Source organism: Homo sapiens, chromosome 22, assembly GCF_000001405.40.
Source record: "Homo sapiens chromosome 22, GRCh38.p14 Primary Assembly".
Classification (NCBI taxonomy): domain Eukaryota; kingdom Metazoa; phylum Chordata; class Mammalia; order Primates; family Hominidae; genus Homo; species Homo sapiens.
In genome coordinates, this window is record NC_000022.11 from 37,873,307 (window position 1) to 37,891,461 (window position 18,155).

An 18,155-nucleotide genomic window follows, 5' to 3' on the forward strand; every position below is an offset into this window, starting at 1 on the left:
TTTTTTTTTTGAGGTGGAGTCTCGCTCTGTTGCCCAGGCTGGAGTGCAGTGGCGCAATCTGGGCTCACTGCAAGCTCCGCCTCCCGGGTTCATGCCATTCTCCTGCCTCAGCCTCCCAAGTAGCTGGGCTACAGGCGCCCACCACCATGCCCGGCTAATTTTTTGTATTTTTAGTAGAGACGGGGTTTCACCTAGCCAGGATGGTCTCGATCTCCTGACCTCGTGATCTGCCCACCTCAGCCTCCCAAAGTGCTGGGATTACAGGCGTGAGCCACCGCTCCCGACCTATGTATCAGTTGTTTTTTTCAAGTAAAAATGAAAAAAGAATTTTCTTTCTTTTTTTTGTCTTTTTTTTAGAACAGGGTCTCTCTGTTACCCAGGCCAAAATGCAGTAGCACTTCCATAGATCTCAGTCTCAAAAAACAAACAAACAAACAAAAAACAACTGATACAACAATCTCTGGTTATTCAGATATGGTACCTGGGCTCAAGCACATCCTCCCATCTCGGCCTCTCAAGTTGCTGGGATTAGAGGTCTAAGCCACCAAGCCTGGCTAAGGACTAGTTCTTTTAGTGCAAATGCATGGCAAGAAGCAATGCAGTGACTACTGGTACAATTTTGTGTCGTTGCCTGATTTATGCTTAAGTTGACAGTAATTTTACCCAACATAGTGTTTGCATCATGCAAAATTCAACTCAGTGGGAAGGGCAAGTAACATCTTAGTGTTGTTATTAGGAAAATAGCTTTGACCTCATGTGCTTTCTGAAAGGAGGAGTCTTCGTGGTTGTATTTTACTGATGAGAGGGGCCTTTGCATGTGTTGGGACCAAAAAAAAAATAAGCAAAATGAACTGCCATCCTGTAAGCAAATATTGGTAAATCGAAGATTAGCATAAGATTGGTTTTGCTGTTTCTTGGTATTCCTTTGAAGTTATTCCCCAGTTGTTGAGGGAAGCTTTCAAGGCTGGCAGTAGGTGAGATGCCTACTGAGTAACATTCAGAGGTCAGGTGTGCCTGCCTTTACCTGCCTCCTATCAGTATTCACGGTGTCTGTCTCTTTCAGGTGACCCTGAGAGTGTGGCTGGGGAGTATGGGCGGCACTCCCTCTACAAAATGCTTGGTTACTTCAGCCTGGTCGGGCTTCTCCGCCTGCACTCCCTGTTAGGAGATTACTACCAGGCCATCAAGGTGCTGGAGAACATCGAACTGAACAAGAAGGTGATGCCTATTGCCTCTGGCCCCTCTTGCCAGAGCCAGAATATCTATTTCTAGAGAACCACTCTGATCTCTTAGGACAAATTTCCAGGAGAGGAAAGAGGACTGTTCCCTCAGGCCATTGAAAGTTGAGACTAAAACTGGGCAAACAGCTGTGGTAAAAAGCTAGACCTGGACGATTTTGGTAGTTAACAACAGTTTTTTATTTTGTTTTCAAAATGGAATGATGATGGCAGCTTGCTCTGTCACCAGGCTGGAGTGCAGTGGTGTGATCTCAGCTCATTGCAACCTCCGTCTCCTGGGTTCAAGCGATTCCCCTGCCTCAGCCTCCTGAGTAGCTGGGACTACAGGCATGCGCCACCATGCCCAGCTAATTTTTTTTTTTTTTTTTTTTTTGTATTTTAGTAGAGTTGGGGTTTCACCGTGTTGGCCAAGATGGTCTCGATCTCCTGACCTCGTGATCCGCCTACCTCGGCCTCCCAAAATGCTGGGATTACAGGCGTGAGCCACCATGCCTGGCCCATGGCAGCTCTTTGCTCTTCACATTTTGCTAAAGGATTGAGAAGGCCAGACGCAGTGGCTCACACCTGTAATCCCAGCAGTTTGGGAGGCTGAGGCAGGTGGATTACTTGAGGTCAGGAGTTCGAGACCAGCCTGGCCAACATGGTGAAACCCTGTCTCTGTTGAAAATACAAAAAAAAAAAAAACTAGCTGGGTATGGTGGTGGGCACTTGTAATCCCAGCTACTCAGGAGGCTGAGGTAGGAGAATCACTTGAACCTGGGAGGCAGAGGTTGCAGTGAGCCGAGATCACACCATTGCACTCCAGCCTGGGCAACAGAACAAGACTCTGTCCCAGAAAAAAAAAAAGAATTAAGTAAAGATGTAATTCTAAGATGGTATGTTCATTGATACATGGTTAGCTGTTGTGTTCTTCCTAACCACAGAAAAATATTACAGATAATTTTTATTTGGTGTTTGGCTCATGTGCATGTATGTGTTTCTGTCTTCCCTGTCCAAAAGGACTTAATTGAAAAAGCAAGGAAAAATAACAAAACTGAGATGTATAGCATTTTAGAGCTGAAGGAGATTTTAGGGATTACCTGATCCAGAACCTTCTTGTTTACAGCTAAAAAAATGGATTCCTCAAAACATACAACTTAATTGATGAATAGGAAGATCCGCTCTCAAACTCTGGGACTCCAGAGCTTCCTCTGGATAGTTGAGGGCCTCTGCAGGGAAAACTCTTGGTGTTTCTACCTCTGGTTCTATCTAGGATGAATTGGGACTCATGAATGTTTGTTCTACCTCCTTCTACAGAGTATGTATTCCCGTGTGCCAGAGTGCCAGGTCACCACATACTATTATGTTGGGTTTGCATATTTGATGATGCGTCGTTACCAGGATGCCATCCGGGTCTTCGCCAACATCCTCCTCTACATCCAGAGGACCAAGAGCATGTTCCAGAGGACCACGTACAAGTATGAGATGGTAAGGGGGACTCTGCCTGCCACCAGTGGCCTTTCTAATCAGGGGGATCCTTGGCACCTATGCCAACCATTCTTGGTAAACACCATCCAAAATATTGCACTTTTAAGCCAGGAGTTCAAGACTGTAGAGCGCTCTGTGATTGTGCCTACTAATAGATCACCCAGCTGGAGTGCAGTGACGCAGTCACAGCTCACGTCAGCCTCAACCTCCTGGGATCAGGCGATCATCCTACCTTAGTCTTCCGAATAGCTGGGCTTAAAGGCGCACACAACAACACCGGCTAATTTTTTTTTTTTTTTTTTTTTTTTTTTGAGACGAAGTCTCTGTCACCCAGGCTGGAGTACAGTGGTGCAATCTCAGCTCACTGCAACCTCCGCTTCCTGGGTTCAAGTGATTCTCCAGCCTTAGCCTCCTGAGTAGCTGGGACTACAGACGCGTGCCACCATGTCCAGCTAATTTTTGTATTTTTAGTAGAGATGGGGTTTCACTATTTGGCCAGGCTGGTCTCGAACTCCTGACCTCAGGCGATCCATCCACCTCAGCCTCCCAAAGTGCTGGGATTACAGGCGTGAGCCACCACGCCCAGCCAAAATGAACTTTTAATGGCTAGCATACTCTTAGGAGTTTCTGTTGTGATGCCTGTTACCTCAGATCATTAACATCTTGATGATAAGGACTTGATGATAATATCTTTTGTTTCAGTTATATCCTCCAGCAGTGCCTACATTTATTTATTCAGCATCAGTATGCTGAGTGTTCACTGGGTTCTAAATGTTTTGATATAAGGTGTGGATATTGGTGGGAAGGAGGATGGGTTCAAGAATTGGGAGGAGCTTCCTAGGCAGAGAATATCATGAGCAAAGTGGTTGAGACTTGAAAGTGTGGTGATGCAGCCGCACAATAAACTGTTCTGGCTGGAGGGCAAGTAGGTAGTAGGAATTGGGTTATTAGATTCTGAGAACCTTCATTAACCCAGGTAAAGTATAGTCCTGTGTCATTTGATGCTGCAGATACATTCTGAGAAATGCATCATTTGGTGATTTTGTTGTGTGAACATCATAGAATGTACTTACACAAACCTAGATGGGATAACCTACTACATACCCGGGCTACATGGTATAGCCTATGGCTCCTTGGCTACAAACGTCTAGAACATATTACTGTACTGAATACCATAGGCAGTTGTAACACAAAGGTATTTGTGTATCTAAGATACAGTAAAAATACAGGATTATAATCTTGCAGGATCACCATCCTATATGTGGCCCATGGCCCGTTGTTGACTGAAACGCTGTTGCACGGCACATTACTATTTAGTCTATATTTCTGTCGTCATCAAGGTTGCATCAAAGGTTTTGGGTAACTCGATCCTAACTGTGTAAAAGGATTGACCTGCTAGTGATGTGTGGGACAAACTGGAGAGACTAAGACAGAGGTGCCAGTAAGGAATCCAGAAGATGGCTAAGGAGGATCTGGAGCTAGGATGGAAGTTAGGTAGATCTAGAGGGAGGATTGGAAGAGATGTTGGGGAAGTTCAATGGCTGGTATGAAACAACTGGGTAAGTCAAAGATCTGTGCAGAGAATGGTGAGGCCAGTTGGCAGTGGGGACCTCAGGAAGTCCGTCTCATTTGACCCAGTACCACTCTCCACCCCATCCCCAGATTAACAAGCAGAATGAGCAGATGCATGCGCTGCTGGCCATTGCCCTCACGATGTACCCCATGCGTATTGATGAGAGCATTCACCTCCAGCTGCGGGAGAAATATGGGGACAAGATGTTGCGCATGCAGAAAGGTGACCCACAAGTCTATGAAGAACTTTTCAGTTACTCCTGCCCCAAGTTCCTGTCGCCTGTAGTGCCCAACTATGATAATGTGCACCCCAACTACCACAAAGAGCCCTTCCTGCAGCAGCTGAAGGTGTTTTCTGATGAAGTACAGCAGCAGGCCCAGCTTTCAACCATCCGCAGCTTCCTGAAGCTCTACACCACCATGCCTGTGGCCAAGCTGGCTGGCTTCCTGGACCTCACAGAGCAGGAGTTCCGGATCCAGCTTCTTGTCTTCAAACACAAGATGAAGAACCTCGTGTGGACCAGCGGTATCTCAGCCCTGGATGGTGAATTTCAGTCAGCCTCAGAGGTTGACTTCTACATTGATAAGGTATGCCTGTCCCCTGGGCTTGGGGTCTTGTATTAAGTGTTCAGTATCTTTCATTCACTATTGTGGGCACATGAAGTATATCGGGGAACAAAAAGATTCCTGGCCTTGTGGTGCTGCCACAAGGTGCCAGGTGTGGTGGCTCATGCCAGTAATACTAGTACTTTAGGGGAGGCTGGGGTGGGAGGATCACTCTAGCCCAGGAGTTCAAGACCAGCCTGGGCAACGTAGTGAGACCTTTTCTCTATTAAAAAAAAAAAAAAAAAAACACAAGAGATAAACAATAGATGGTTTTGTTTTGGTTTTTTTTTTGAGATGGAATTTCGCTCTCGTTGCCCAGGCTAGAATGTGATGGCACGATCTCGGCTCACCGCAACCTCCGCCTCCCAGGTTCAAGCCATTCTCCTGCCTCAGCCTCCTGAGTAGCTGGGATTACCGGCATGTGTTACCATGCCCAGCTAATTTTGTATTTTTCGTAGAAATGGGGTTTCTCCATGTTGGTCAGTCTGGTGTCAAACTCCCAACCTCAGGTGATCAGCCAGCCTTGGCCTCCCAAAGTGCTGGGATTACCAACAATAGATGTTATAATTAAACAATAGATGTTATAATTAAACAAACTATGTAGTAAGAAGTTGCCAAGCACTGCAGAGTAAAGGAAGGCAGAGGTGGTGGGAAGCACAGGTTGCAATGTTAAATACGGTGTTCAGACAGGCTTTGTTGAGAAAGTGAAGTTTAAGCTAAGCTAAGACTTGAAGGAGGTGAGGGAGTAGTGTTTTGGTTTTTTTTTTTTTTTTTTTGACAGTCTTGGTCTGTCGCCCAGGCTAGAGTGCAGTGGTGCAATCTCGGCTCCCTGCAACCTCCGCCTCCCAGGTTCAAGCAATTCTCCTGCCTCAGCATCCTGAGTAGCTGGAATTATAAGAGGCCGCCACCACACCTGGCTAATTTTTGTATTTTTAGTAGAGACAGGGTTTTGCCATGTTGGCCAGGCTAGTCTCAAACTCCTGACCTGAAGCGATCCATCTGGTGGAGAGTTCTTAATAGCTCACCAAAGGCTGGACACGGTGGCTCATGCCTGTAATCCCAGCACTTTGGGAGGCCGAGATGGACAGATCATGGGGTCAAGAGATCAAGACCATCCTAGCCAACATGGTGAAACCCCATCTCTACTAAAAATAAATTAGCTGGGCATGGTGGCGCATACCTGTAGTCCCAGCTACCCGGGAGGCTGAGGCAGGAGAATCACTTGAACCCAGGAGGCGGAGGTTGCAGTGAGCTGAGATCGCTGCACTGCACTGTAGCCTGGCAACAGAGCGACACTCCGTCTCAAAAAAAAAAAAAATAGCTCACCAGATATCTGGAGGAAGAGCCTTCCAGGCAGAGGAACAGTTAGAGCAAAGGCCCCGAAGAGGAGTGAGGCCAATAAGTTTAAGGGACAGTTGTAGTATGCCCGAGTAGCCTGAGAAAGGAGGCTGTGAAGATGAGATTGGAGAAAGGGGGATGGTGCTTTGTATACTGTTGGAGTACTTTACAAGTGGGAAGCCATTGTCCTGCTGCCTTCTTTATTTTTTTATTTTTAGTTAGCAATAATCACACCTCACATAACCCTCATTGGCCATACTGCCACTGCACAAAGCTTTTTTTTTTTTTTTGAGATGGAGTGTCATTCTGTCGTCCAGGCTGGAGTGCAGTGGCACGATCTTGGCTCACTGCAACCTCTGCCTCCCGGGTTCATGCGATTCTCTTGCCTCAGCCTCCTGAGTAGCTGGGATTACAGGCTCACACCACCACACCCAGCTAATATTTTGTGTATTTTTAGTAGAGACAGGGTTTCACTATGTTGACCAGACTGGTCTCCAACTCCTGACCTTGTGATCCGCCCGCCTCGGCCTCCCAGAGTGCTAGGATTACAGGCGTGAGCCATCGCGCCCGGTATTATTTTATTTTTATTTTATTTTATTTTATTTTGAGATGTCTCGCTCTGTCGCCTAGGCTGGAGTGCAGTGGCGCGATCTCAGCTCACTGTAAGCTTCACCTCCCAGGTTCACGCCATTCTCCTGCCTCAGCCTCCCGAGTAGCTGGGACTACAGACACCCGCCACCACACCTGGCTAATTTTTTGTATTTTTTAGTAGAGACGGGGTTTCACTGTGTTAGCCAGGATGGTCTCAATCTCCTGACCTCGTGATCCACCCACCTCGGCCTACCAAAGTGCTGAGATTACAGGCGTGAGCCACTGCATCCGGCTCTCTTTTTTGAGACAAGGTCTCACTCTGGTTGCCCAGGCTGGAGTGCAGTGGTGTGATCTCAGCTCACTGCAGCCTCAACTTCCTGGGTTCAGGTGATTGTCCTACCTCATCCTCCCAAGTAGCTGAGATTACAGGCGCACGTCACCACGACTGGCTAATTTTTGGTATTTTTAGTAGAGATGGGGTTTGGCCATGTTGCCCAGCCTGGTCTCGAACTCTGATATGTGCCACTGTTCCCAGCCGATTTTAAGTTTTTACTTTATAGAAACAGGGTCTCACTTTGTTGCCCAGGCTAGTTTCAAGTGATCCTCCTACCTTGGCCTCCCAAAATGCTGGGATTACTGGTGTGAGCCACTGCGCCTGTCCTGTCCTGATGTCTAACATCTTGGATTAGTGCTGCCTGTTTGTGAACTTTATATAATGGAATTACACAGTATGTACTCTTTAAGTCTGGCTTCTTTTGCTCAACGTTATAATTGAGTGAGTCACCGTCCATTGTGTGTAGCAGTGATTCCTTCATGTTTATTGTTCTGTGATAGTCCAGCATCTGCTGTTGTTATTGTACTGCAGTTTATCCATTCTCCCATTGATTAACGTTTGGATGGTTTGTATATTACAAAAAATACAAGTAAGGTTTTTACAGAGTGGCTAGTAATACATTTATATATGCCTATGTATGCCTCAAGTTCTTTCCAGAAGGATACACAAGCAACATAGCAGTAGCTTCCTCTCAGGAGGGGAGGTGGGTTGAAGAACAGTGTTAGTTTTCACTGGCACTTTTAAGTTCAAGCTGGACATTTTAATGTCTGATGAGATTTTCATTTTTATTTATTTATTTAGAGACAGAGTCTCATTGTATCACTCAGGCTGTAGTGCAGTGATGTGATCTTGGCTCACTGCCACCTCCGCCTCCTGGGTTCAAGCAATCCTTCTGTCTCAGCCTCCTGATTAGCTGGGACTACAGGCGCTGATGAGCTGATGAGGTTTTTAAAAGAATTGTTTTCTTTTTTTTTAGACTGAGTCTTGCTCTTGTTGCACAGGCTGGAGTGCAATGGCACAATCTTGGCTCACCGGAACCTCTGCCTCCCGGGTTCAGGCGATTTTCCTGCCTCAGCCTCCCGAGTAGCTGGGATGTACAGGGATGCGCCACCATGCCCAGCTAATTTTGTATTTTTAGTAGAGACAGGGTTTCTCCGTCTTGGTCAGGCTGGTCTCGAACTCCCGCCCTCAGGTGATCTGCCCGCCTCGGCCTCCCAAAGTGCTGGGGTTACAGACATGAGCCACCACACACGGCCGTCAGCCCAGGTTTTCTAAGATCAGCAAATGTCCATAGGGCAGAGGGGGTCTTCTGTGCTTTTCTTAGAATGGTTTCTTTTTTCCCAAAATGTTCTGTTACTATCTTGTCAGCTCTTTGATGCTGTAAGTTTTTTTCTAATATCCTGCATTTTTAATTGTTTTTGAAAGCATTTTGGGCCAGGTACAGTGGCTTATAGCTATAATCCCAATACTCTGGAAGGACGAGGCAGGAGAATTGCTTGAGCCCAGGAGTTCAAGACCAACCTGGGCAACAAACCAAGACCCTGTCTCTACTTTTTAAAAAGAGAAAAAGCATGCTGGGCATGATGGCTCACGCCTGTAATCCCAGCACTTTGGGAGGCCAAGGCGGGTGGATCACCTGAGGTCAGGAGATCAAGACCATCCTGGCCAGTATGGTGAAACCCTGTCTCTACTAAAAATATAAAAATTAGCCAGGCATGGTGGCACATGCCTGTAATCCCAGTAACTTGGGAGGCTGAGACAGGAGACTCACTTGAGCCCAAGAGACAGAGGTTGCAGTGAGCTGAGATCAAGCCACCGCATTCCAGCCTTTGTGACAGAGATGAGACTGCATCTTGAAAAAAAGAGAAAAAGCATTTTGGTCTAAATGTATTGTTGGAAATAGCACTTTTTGAGCAGTTCTTAAAAATACATAATTTTAGGCTGAGTGCAGTGGCTCATACCTGTAATCCTATCACTTTGGGAGGCCAAGGTGGGTAGATCATCAGAGGTCAGGAGTTCAAGACCTGCCTGTGCAACATGGTGAAACCCCGTCTCTACTAAAAATATTTAAAAAATTAGCCGGGCATGGTGGTGCGTTCCTGTAATCCCAGCTACTCGGGAGGCTGAGGCACGAGAATCACCTGAACCTGGGAAGCAGAAGCTGCAGTGAGCCGAGATTGTGCCACTGCACTCCAGCCTGGGCAACAGAGTGAGAGACTGTCTCAAAAAAAGAAAAAAACATAATTTTTATACATAATTTGCATGATAAGCCGGGCGCGTTGGTTCACGCAAGTAATCCCAGCACTTTGGGAGGCCGAGCTAGGCGGAACACGAGGTCAGGAGATCAAGACCGTCCTGGCCAATATGGTGAACCCCATCTCTACTAAAAATACAAAAATTAGCTGGGCGTGGTGGCGGGTGCCTGTAGTCCCAGCTACTTGGGAGGCTGAGGCAGGAGACTTGCTTGAACCTAGGAGGCGGAGGTTGCAGTAAGCCAAGATTGCACCACTGCACTCCAGCCTGGGCAACAGAGCGAGACTCCACTTCAAAAAAATAAAAAAAGGCTGGGCATGGTGGCTCACGCCTGTAATCCCAACACTTTGAGAGGCGAAGGTGGGCGGATCACTTGAGGTCAGGAGATCAAGACCAGCCTGACCAACATGAAGAAACCCCATCTCTACTAAAAATACAAAATTAGCCAGACGTGGCAGCGCATGCCTGTAATCTCAGCTACTCCGGAGGCTGAGGCAGGAGAATTGCTTGAACCCGGGAGGTGGAGGTTGCAGTGAGCCAAGATCGTGCCATTGCACTCCAGCCTGGGCAACAAGAGTGAAACTCCGTCTCAAAAAAAAAAAAAAAAAAAAAACTTGCATGATCCCAGCACTTTGGGAGGCTGAGGCAGGCAGATCACGAGGTCAGGAGATCAAGACCATCCTGGCTAACACGGTGAAACCCTGTCTCTACTAAAAATACAAAAAATTAACCGGGCATGGTGGTGGGCGCCTGTGGTCCCAGCTACTCGGGAGGCTGAGGCAGGAGAATGGTGTGAACCCGGGAGGCGGAGCTTGCAGTAAGCAGAGCTCGCGCCACTGCACTCCAGCCTGGGCGACAGAGCGAGACTCCATCTCAAAAAAAAAAATTGCAGGATATAAACTTCACCATTTTAAAATGTGCAATTTGGCCAGGTGTGATGCTTTACACCTATAATCCCAGCACTTTGGGAGGCCAAGGCTGGCAGATCACTTGAGACCAGGAGTTCAAGACCAGCCTGGCCAACATGGTGAAACCCCATCTGTACTAAAAATACACAAATTAGCTGAGTGTGGGGGCGCATGCCTGTAATACCAGCTACTTGGGAGGCTGAGGCACAAGAATCGCTTTAGCCTAGGAGGTGGAGGTTGCAGTGAGCCAAGATCATGCCACTGCACTCCAGCCTGAGTGACAGAGTGAGACCCTGTCTCCATAAATAAATAGAATGAATGAATGAATGAATGAAGAATTCAGTGGTTATTAGTATGTTCACAGTGTTTTGCAACCATCTCCACTGTCTAATTCCAAAACATTTCTGTCCCCCCAAAAAGAAACTCCCTACCCACTAGCAGTCACTCGCAGTTCCCCAGTTCCCCCTTTCTGCCATCCCCTAGCAAACCCCTAATCTGCTTTGGTCTCTCTGCATTTGACATTTCAGATAAATGGAATCATGTAATATATGGACTTTTGTGTTTGGGTCCTTTCACTGAGCATGTCTTCAAGTTTCATCCATATTATAGCATGTGTCAGTACATTCCTTTTATAGCTGAATAATATCCCATGTATTAATGTACTGCATTTTGTTTATCCATTTGTTGTTGCACATTTGGGGTTTTTGGTTTTTGGGGGTTTTTTGTTCCTTTTTTCACTTTTTGGCTTATGAATAGTGCTGCTGTGAATATTCATCTAGAAGTTATTGTGTGAACATATGTTTTTAATTTTCAGATATATATCTAGTTGTGGAATTTCTAGGTCAGTTTGGGTAGTTTGTTTTTGAAAGTTCATTTTGCTTTAAAATAAATACTCTCATTTCATTTTTATGGCTTCTGGAAGACTTGGTTTTTGCCATAAGTTAGCTAGCCCGATACAAACAGATTTGCCAAAAGTAATAACACGTCAGTAGTGGAAGTTTTCCAGTGTTTTAAATCATGCTTTTATAAATCAAAGAAAACTGAGCCAGGCTTCGTAGCGTGTACTTGTAGTCCCAGCTATGGGAGAGAGTCCCTTATAGCCCCTGCCTTAGGACGCTGAGGCAGGAGGATGGCTTGAGCCCAGGCGTTTGAGGCTGCAGTGACCTAAGATCTTACCACTGCAGTGCAGCCTGGGTAACAAAGTGAGACCCTGCCTCTAAAAATAAATAAATATATAAATAAATAAAAATAAAGAAAACTTTCTCCCTTGCCAGGATCATGTCAAGCCTTTTTTTTTTTTTTTTTTTTTTTTTTTTTTAAGATAGCATCTTAATCCTCCAGTTGTCCAGGCTGGAGTGCAGTGGCAAAATCACAGCTCACTGCAGCCTCAACTCCCGGGGGCTCAGGTGATCCTCCTATCTCAGCTTCTCAAGTAGCTGGGACTACAGGACTGCACCACCACATCTTGCTAATTTTTGTATTTTTTGTAGAGATGGGGTTTTACCATGTTGCCCAGCCTGGTCTCAAATACAAACTCTTGGGCTCGGGTAGTCTGCCCACCTCTGCCTCCCAAAGTGCTGGGATTGCAGGTGTGAGCCACCATGCCTGGCCTAGTTTTTTCTCAATACCTGACATATATACGTTCTTTGGCAATTATAGTAGCCTCCTGCATTCCTCTGTCACCTCTTAATTACCAGCCTAGCTATTCTCAACTAATCTGGGTAGTTTAACAAAACATTTCTCCTAAGAATTGGCTATTTGATTATTATTTAATTGCATGTTTTACTGTTATTCCTCTGTTGCTGGTTCAGGTTTGTCTTTGGCAAAGTGCTTCTTTTTTTTTTCCTTTTTGACTCTTCATTCTTAACTTGAAAGAAATCCTATCAGAGATTTAGAACGTTCTTAGATCTTAACCTAGGGGATATAGAAAATTTTAAAGTAAAATGGTGTTCAAAATATTTTCAGCTAAAAACAAAACTTAAAGATTGGACTAATTTGCAATTTTATCAACAGTGTAGGAGCATAAACTTTTTTTTTTTTTTTTTTTTGAGATGGAGTCTCACTTTGTCACCCAAGCTGGAGTGCAGTGACGCAGTCTCGGCTCACTGCAACCTCTCCCTCCTGGGATTACAGGTGCCCGCCACTACGCCCAGCTAATTTTTAGTAGAGATGGGGTTTCACCATGTTGGTCAGGCTGGTCTTGAATTCCCAACCTCCCAAAGTGCTGGGATTACAGGCGTGAGTCACCATGCCCAGCCAGCATAAACATCTTTATTCCCAAAATAAAAAAGACGAGGCTGGGCACGGTGGCTCACGCCTGTAATCCCAACACTTTGGGAGGCCAAGACGGGCGAATCATGAGGTCAGGAGATCGAGACCATCCTGGCTAACATGGTGAAACCCCGTCTCTACTAAAAACATACAAAAAAAATTAGCCAGGCATGGTGGCGGGTGCCTGTAGTCCCAGCTACTCGGGAGGCTGAGGCAGGAGAATGGTGTGAACTCGGGAGGTGGAGCTTGCAGTGAGCCGAGATCGCACCACTGCACTCCAGCCTGAGTGACAGAGCAAGACTCCATCTCAAAAAAAAAAAAAAGACTAGAAAATAAAAGACAAAAAAAAAGTCTAGAAAATAAAAGTACAAATGAATTGATAAAAAAAATATATATAAACTAGGCCGGGCACATTGGCTCATGCCTGTAATCCCAGCACTTTGGGAAGCTGAGGCGAGTGGATCACCTGAGGTCAGGAGTTTGAGACCAGCCTGATTAACATGGTAAAACCTCATCTCTACTAAAAATACAAAAATTAGCCAGGCAAGATGGCGGGAGCCTGTAATCCCAGCTACTTGGGAAGCTGAGGCAAGAGAATTGCTTGAACCCTGGAGGCGGAGGTTGCAGTGAGCTGAGATCATGCCATTGCACTCCAGCCTGGGCGACGAGCAAAACTCCATCTCAAAAAAAAAAAGAAAAGAAAAACTCTCTAGAAAGAGTGAGTTACTGTTAACTGGTGGTGTTTTTCCAGTGGTCTTTTCCCCACCTTTACATCTAACACTCACCATCATTATCACTTGCAAGTCCATGGTGGCTCCTGGGTTAGATGGCCCTGCTCCTCCACCTGGCTGCTCTTCCCTGACTGTGCTTTCCCCCACAGGACATGATCCACATCGCGGACACCAAGGTCGCCAGGCGTTATGGGGATTTCTTCATCCGTCAGATCCACAAATTTGAGGAGGTGAGAGATCTGAGAGAAGAGGGGTTTGTTGGCTCAGGACAGAGCTTAGGAACTGAATCGAGAGTTTACTTTTTTTTAATTTTTATTCCTTTATTTATTTTGAGATGGAGTCTTGTGCTGTCACCCATGCTGGAGTGCAGCGACGTGATCTTAGCTCACTGCAACCTCTGCCTCCTGGGTTCAAGCGAGTCTCCCTCCTCAGCCTCCCGCATAGCTGGAATTACAGGTGTGTGCCACCACACCCAGCTAATTTTTGTATTTATGGTAGAGATGGGGTTTCACCATGTTGGCCAGGCTGGTCTCCAGCTCCTGGCCTCAAGTGATCCAGTCCGTCTCAGCTTCCCAAAGTGTTGGGATTACAGGCATGAGCCACCATGCCTGGCCTTTTAAATTTTTCATTTCTGTTATTAAGAAAGCCTACTGCCCTCCAGCCTGGGCAACCGAGCAAGACCCTGTCTCAAGAAAAAAAAAAAAGAAAAAGAGGCCAGGTGCAGTGGCTCATGCCTGTAATCCCAGCACTTTGGGAGGCTGAATTTGAGATCAGGAGTTCAAGACCAGCCTGGCCACATGGTGAAACCTCATGTCTACTAAAAATTAAAAAAATTAGCTGGGTGTGGTGGTGCGCACCTGTAATCCCATCTACGCAGAAGGCTGAGGCAGGAGAATGATTTGAACCTGGGAGATGGAGGCTGCAGTGAGCAGAGATCATGCCACTGCAAAAGAAAGCTTGAGGTTGGCCCTTTAAATTTTCAAGCTAGACTGGCTGGCTGCTTGGGGTTTGGGGAGTGGGGTTGGGCCTGTAGGAATTGCTGCATCAGCCTTCTCCAGAGCATCTCTTTCCAAGATCTCCCTCTGCGGGTGGCCAGCTCTCCTCTCCCTCCCTGGTATTTCCTAATATGGGTGGATTCACTGCCTGCTCTTGCCCATCCCTCCCCGTTTGGCATTGTTTTCCAACTTAGACAGGTCTGGCTAGTTCCTGTAGGCTGGAGGACAGGAAGCTCTGTTTTGACATACTTGGTGCATTCCTTGTCTTGCCCTAGGAGAGGTCTTGTGGGTCAGGCCAAACACTGTAAGGGTGTGGGTCTCTCTTTGTGGCCATTGCTAGGGCTACTGTGTCCTGGTGCTTTGAGTTCTCCAGCAGAGGTCAGGCTCTTCCTGCAGGATCATAACAGCCCTGCTGCTCTTTTTACTTTCTGGCTGTTTAGATCACATCTGTCAGGGTGGTGGGCTAGGGCTGTCTTCTAACAAGGATCCTGTTCAAAGCTTCTCATTCTTCCCCTAACTGAACTAGTAACCTTGAAACGTCTGGCCAGTCTGAATCCTTTTTCTGTCAGATGGATAGAGCAGTGTTGTGTATGGGTTTGTTGAGTGTGAAGGGCAGATAAAAGAATAATCCGCGTGAACTGTGCAGGGCCATATGAATGTCACGGCTTTGCACACACATAGTGGACACCCACATCAGAAACTTCCTTTCTTGGCTTCAGAGGGGCAGCTGGGAATCTGACCTAGTGATCATACACACTGTAGGAAAGGGGTTGGGGAAATCCCCGTATGTAACTTTGCTTTTCTTTCTCTTCTAGCTTAATCGAACCCTGAAGAAGATGGGACAGAGACCTTGATGATATTCACACACATTCAGGAACCTGTTTTGATGTATTATAGGCAGGAAGTGTTTTTGCTACCGTGAAACCTTTACCTAGATCAGCCATCAGCCTGTCAACTCAGTTAACAAGTTAAGGACCGAAGTGTTTCAAGTGGATCTCAGTAAAGGATCTTTGGAGCCAGATTTGTCGTCTCATTATTGTAGGAGAGAATTTGTGGGTTGTGGCAGTAATACATTTCCCATGTGTCCTGATGCTTTCAGGATACATCAGTTGTTAGTGTTTAAATTGAGTTATTTTTATTTTGTGCTTTTGAGATGGAGTCTCACTCTGTCTCCCAGGCTGGAGTGCAGTAGCGTGATCTCAGTTCGTTGCATCCTCCGCTGCCCAGGTTCAAGCAGTTCTGCCTCAGCCTTCCAAGTAGCTGGGATTACAGGCGTGTGCCACCACACTCAGCTAATTTTTGTATTCTCAGTAGAGATGGGTTTTACCATGTTGGCCAGGCTGGTCTCGAACTCCTGGCCTCAAGTGATTCGCCTGCCTTGGCCTCCCAAAATGTGCTAGGATTACAGGCATGAGCCACCACGCCCCGCCTAAATTCAAAATCTTTTTGTTTTTTTTTAGACGGAGTCTCACTCTGTCGCCCAGGTTGGAGTGTACTGGCGCGATCTCGGCTCACTGCAAGCTCCACCTCCCAGGTTCCTGCCATTCTCCTGCCTCAGCCTCCCAAGTAGCTGGGACTACAGGCACCCGCCACCATGCCCGGCCAATTTTTTGTATTTTTTAGTAGAGATGGGGTTTCACCGTGTTAGCCAGGATGGTCTCAGATTTCCTGACCTCGTGATCTGCCCATCTCTGCCTCCTAAAGTACTGGGATTACAGGCGTGAGCCACCGTGCCCAGCCCTAAATTGAATTCTTAAATCCCTCTTGTTCATAAAGCAGTATATTTGGTTTACAGGACATTTTCACGTTCAGTATTTTGTTTGTGCGTCACAAGATCCTATGAACTTTAAATGACCTATAATTTTCATGACATATTTGTGGCAGTGCTGGGTCCTGGAAGGAAACTATTGAACACCTCCTACTGCCAGGAACTGTGCAAAGAGGGATCCATATACATTACTTACACCTTACAACTCAGGTTTAGTAGTAGTTCCTCATCTTATTGATGAGGAAATGAACCCACAGTAGTTAGTGACTTGATCAAGGTCACATTAGGCAGCTGCTGGAGCTGAGCTAAATGGTTTCCTGCCTACCCACAGTATTAATGCTATGCCTGTCACCCTATAGTGGGTACTTGGACTGGAAGCCCCTGCTTGCAAGTTGTCTCACATCTCTGCCTGGTTCCTTGTATATAAAATAAGGTTAGCAGGCCAGGCGCGGTGGCTCACGCCTGTAATCCCAGCACTGGGAGGCCGAGGCGGGCGGATCACAAGGTCAAGGAGATCGAGACCATCCTGGCTAACATGGCGAAACCCTGTCTCTATTAAAAATACAAAAAAATTAGCCGGGCGTGGTGGCGGGCGCCTGTAGTCCCAGCTACTCGGGAGGCTGAGGCAGGAGAATGGCGTGAACCCGGGAGGCGGAGCTTGCAGTGAGCCAAGAGATCGTGCCGCTGGACCCCAGCCTGGGTTACAGAGCGAGACTCCGTCTAAAAAAAATAAAAAATAAGTGTAGCAGAACCTGGCTCACTGGGCAGTGGTGACGAATAAATGAGAATGCTATTTTGAGTGCCCAGTGCAGTGCCTGGCCTATAATGGATGTTCAGTTACTGTTTCCCCACACTTGGAATTCGTAAGCTTTTCAGTATGCTCTTTTTCCCCATTGGTTTGATAATTATTATTGGGAACTGAATGGTGGTTCCCAAGAAGACATGTCCATATCCTAAGCCCTGGATGCCATCAGCATGACCTTATTTGTTTGGCTGGCATGCAGTGGCACGATCTCTGTTCACTGCAACGTCTGCCTCCCAGGTTCAAGCTATTCTACCTCAGCCTCCCAAGTAGTTGCATGCCACCATGCCTGGCTAATTTTTTGTATTTTTATTTTTGTTTATTTTTTTGAGACAGAGTTTTGATCTTATTGCCCAGGCTGGAGTGCAATGGCGCGATCTCGGCTCACTGCAACCTCCGCCTCCGGGGTTCAAGCGGTTCTCCTGCCTCAGCCTCCCAAGTAGCTGGGACTACAGGTGCACGCCACCACGCCTGGCTAATGTTTGTAGTTTTAATAGAGACGAGGTTTCGCGATGTTGGCCAGGCTAGTCTCGAACTCCTGACCTCAGGTGATCTGCCTGCCTCAGCCTCCCAAAGTGCTGGGATTATAGGCGTGAGCCACTGCGCCTGGCTTTTTGTATTTTCAGTAGAGACTGGGTTTCACCATGTTGGTCAGGTGGGTCTCAAACTCCTGACCTCAGATGATCACCCATCTCGGCCTCCCAAAGTGCTGGGATTACAGGCATGAGCCACAGTGCCCGGCCTTCTTTGTTTTGTTTTTGTTTTTGTTTTTGAGATGGAATCTCGCTCTGTCGCCCAGGCTGGAGTGCAGTGGTGCAATCTCAGCTCACTGCAACCTCCACCTTCTGGGTTCAAGAGATTCTCCTGCCTCAGCCTCCTGAGTAGCTGGGACTACAGGCACCATTTCTCCTGCCTCAGCCTCCTGAGTAGCTGGGACTACAGGCACCCACGACCACACCTTGCTAATTTTTATATTTTTTTAGTAGAGATGGTATTTTGCCATGTTGGCCAGGCTAGTCTCAAACTCCTGACCTCAGGTGATCTGCCTGCCTCAGCCTCCCATAGTGATGGTATTACAGGCGTGAGCCACTGTGCCCAGCCAGCATGACCTTATTTGGAAGAAGGTCTTAATGGTTGTAAGTTAAAGATCTCAAAATTAGATCATTGTGCTTGCTTTAGCAGCACATGTACCAAAATTGGAATGATGCAGTTTAGCATGGCCCCTGTGCAAGGATGACATGCAAATTTGTGAAGTGTTCCCATGTATTAAAAATACATTTT

General features: G+C 46.7%; 1 protein-coding gene and 1 pseudogene across 6 annotated transcripts in view, besides 1 other annotated feature; both read left to right on the top strand.

Annotated features, from left to right (window-relative positions):
• EIF3L (eukaryotic translation initiation factor 3 subunit L) overlaps nt 1-16,101 on the top strand; it is a 39,989-nt gene extending 23,888 nt beyond the window's left edge. For 4 of the 6 annotated variants that reach the window (NM_016091.4, NM_001242923.2, NM_001363785.2 and 1 more), the window contains 5 exons: nt 1,064-1,218; nt 2,535-2,705; nt 4,368-4,865; nt 13,459-13,539; nt 15,120-16,101. In NM_016091.4, the coding sequence (NP_057175.1) occupies nt 1,064-1,218; nt 2,535-2,705; nt 4,368-4,865; nt 13,459-13,539; nt 15,120-15,158 (944 nt within the window). In that variant the 3' untranslated portion in view covers nt 15,159-16,101. The remainder of the gene's footprint in view (nt 1-1,063; nt 1,219-2,534; nt 2,706-4,367; nt 4,866-13,458; nt 13,540-15,119) is intronic. The other 2 variants (XM_006724260.5, XM_047441390.1) reach the window with 1 other exon arrangement.
• Nucleotides 6,772-6,931: a silencer, noted in NCBI's record as "fragment chr22:38276085-38276244 (GRCh37/hg19 assembly coordinates)". NCBI's record gives its function as "represses an EF-1alpha promoter that drives an FKBP-Casp9 reporter gene in an ReSE screen in phorbol 12-myristate 13-acetate-treated (for megakaryocytic differentiation) K562 erythroleukemia cells {active_cell/tissue: K562(+PMA)}" and the evidence as "EXISTENCE:reporter gene assay evidence [ECO:0000049][PMID:32094911]".
• On the top strand, nt 18,041-18,142 carry RNU6-900P (RNA, U6 small nuclear 900, pseudogene; annotated as a pseudogene).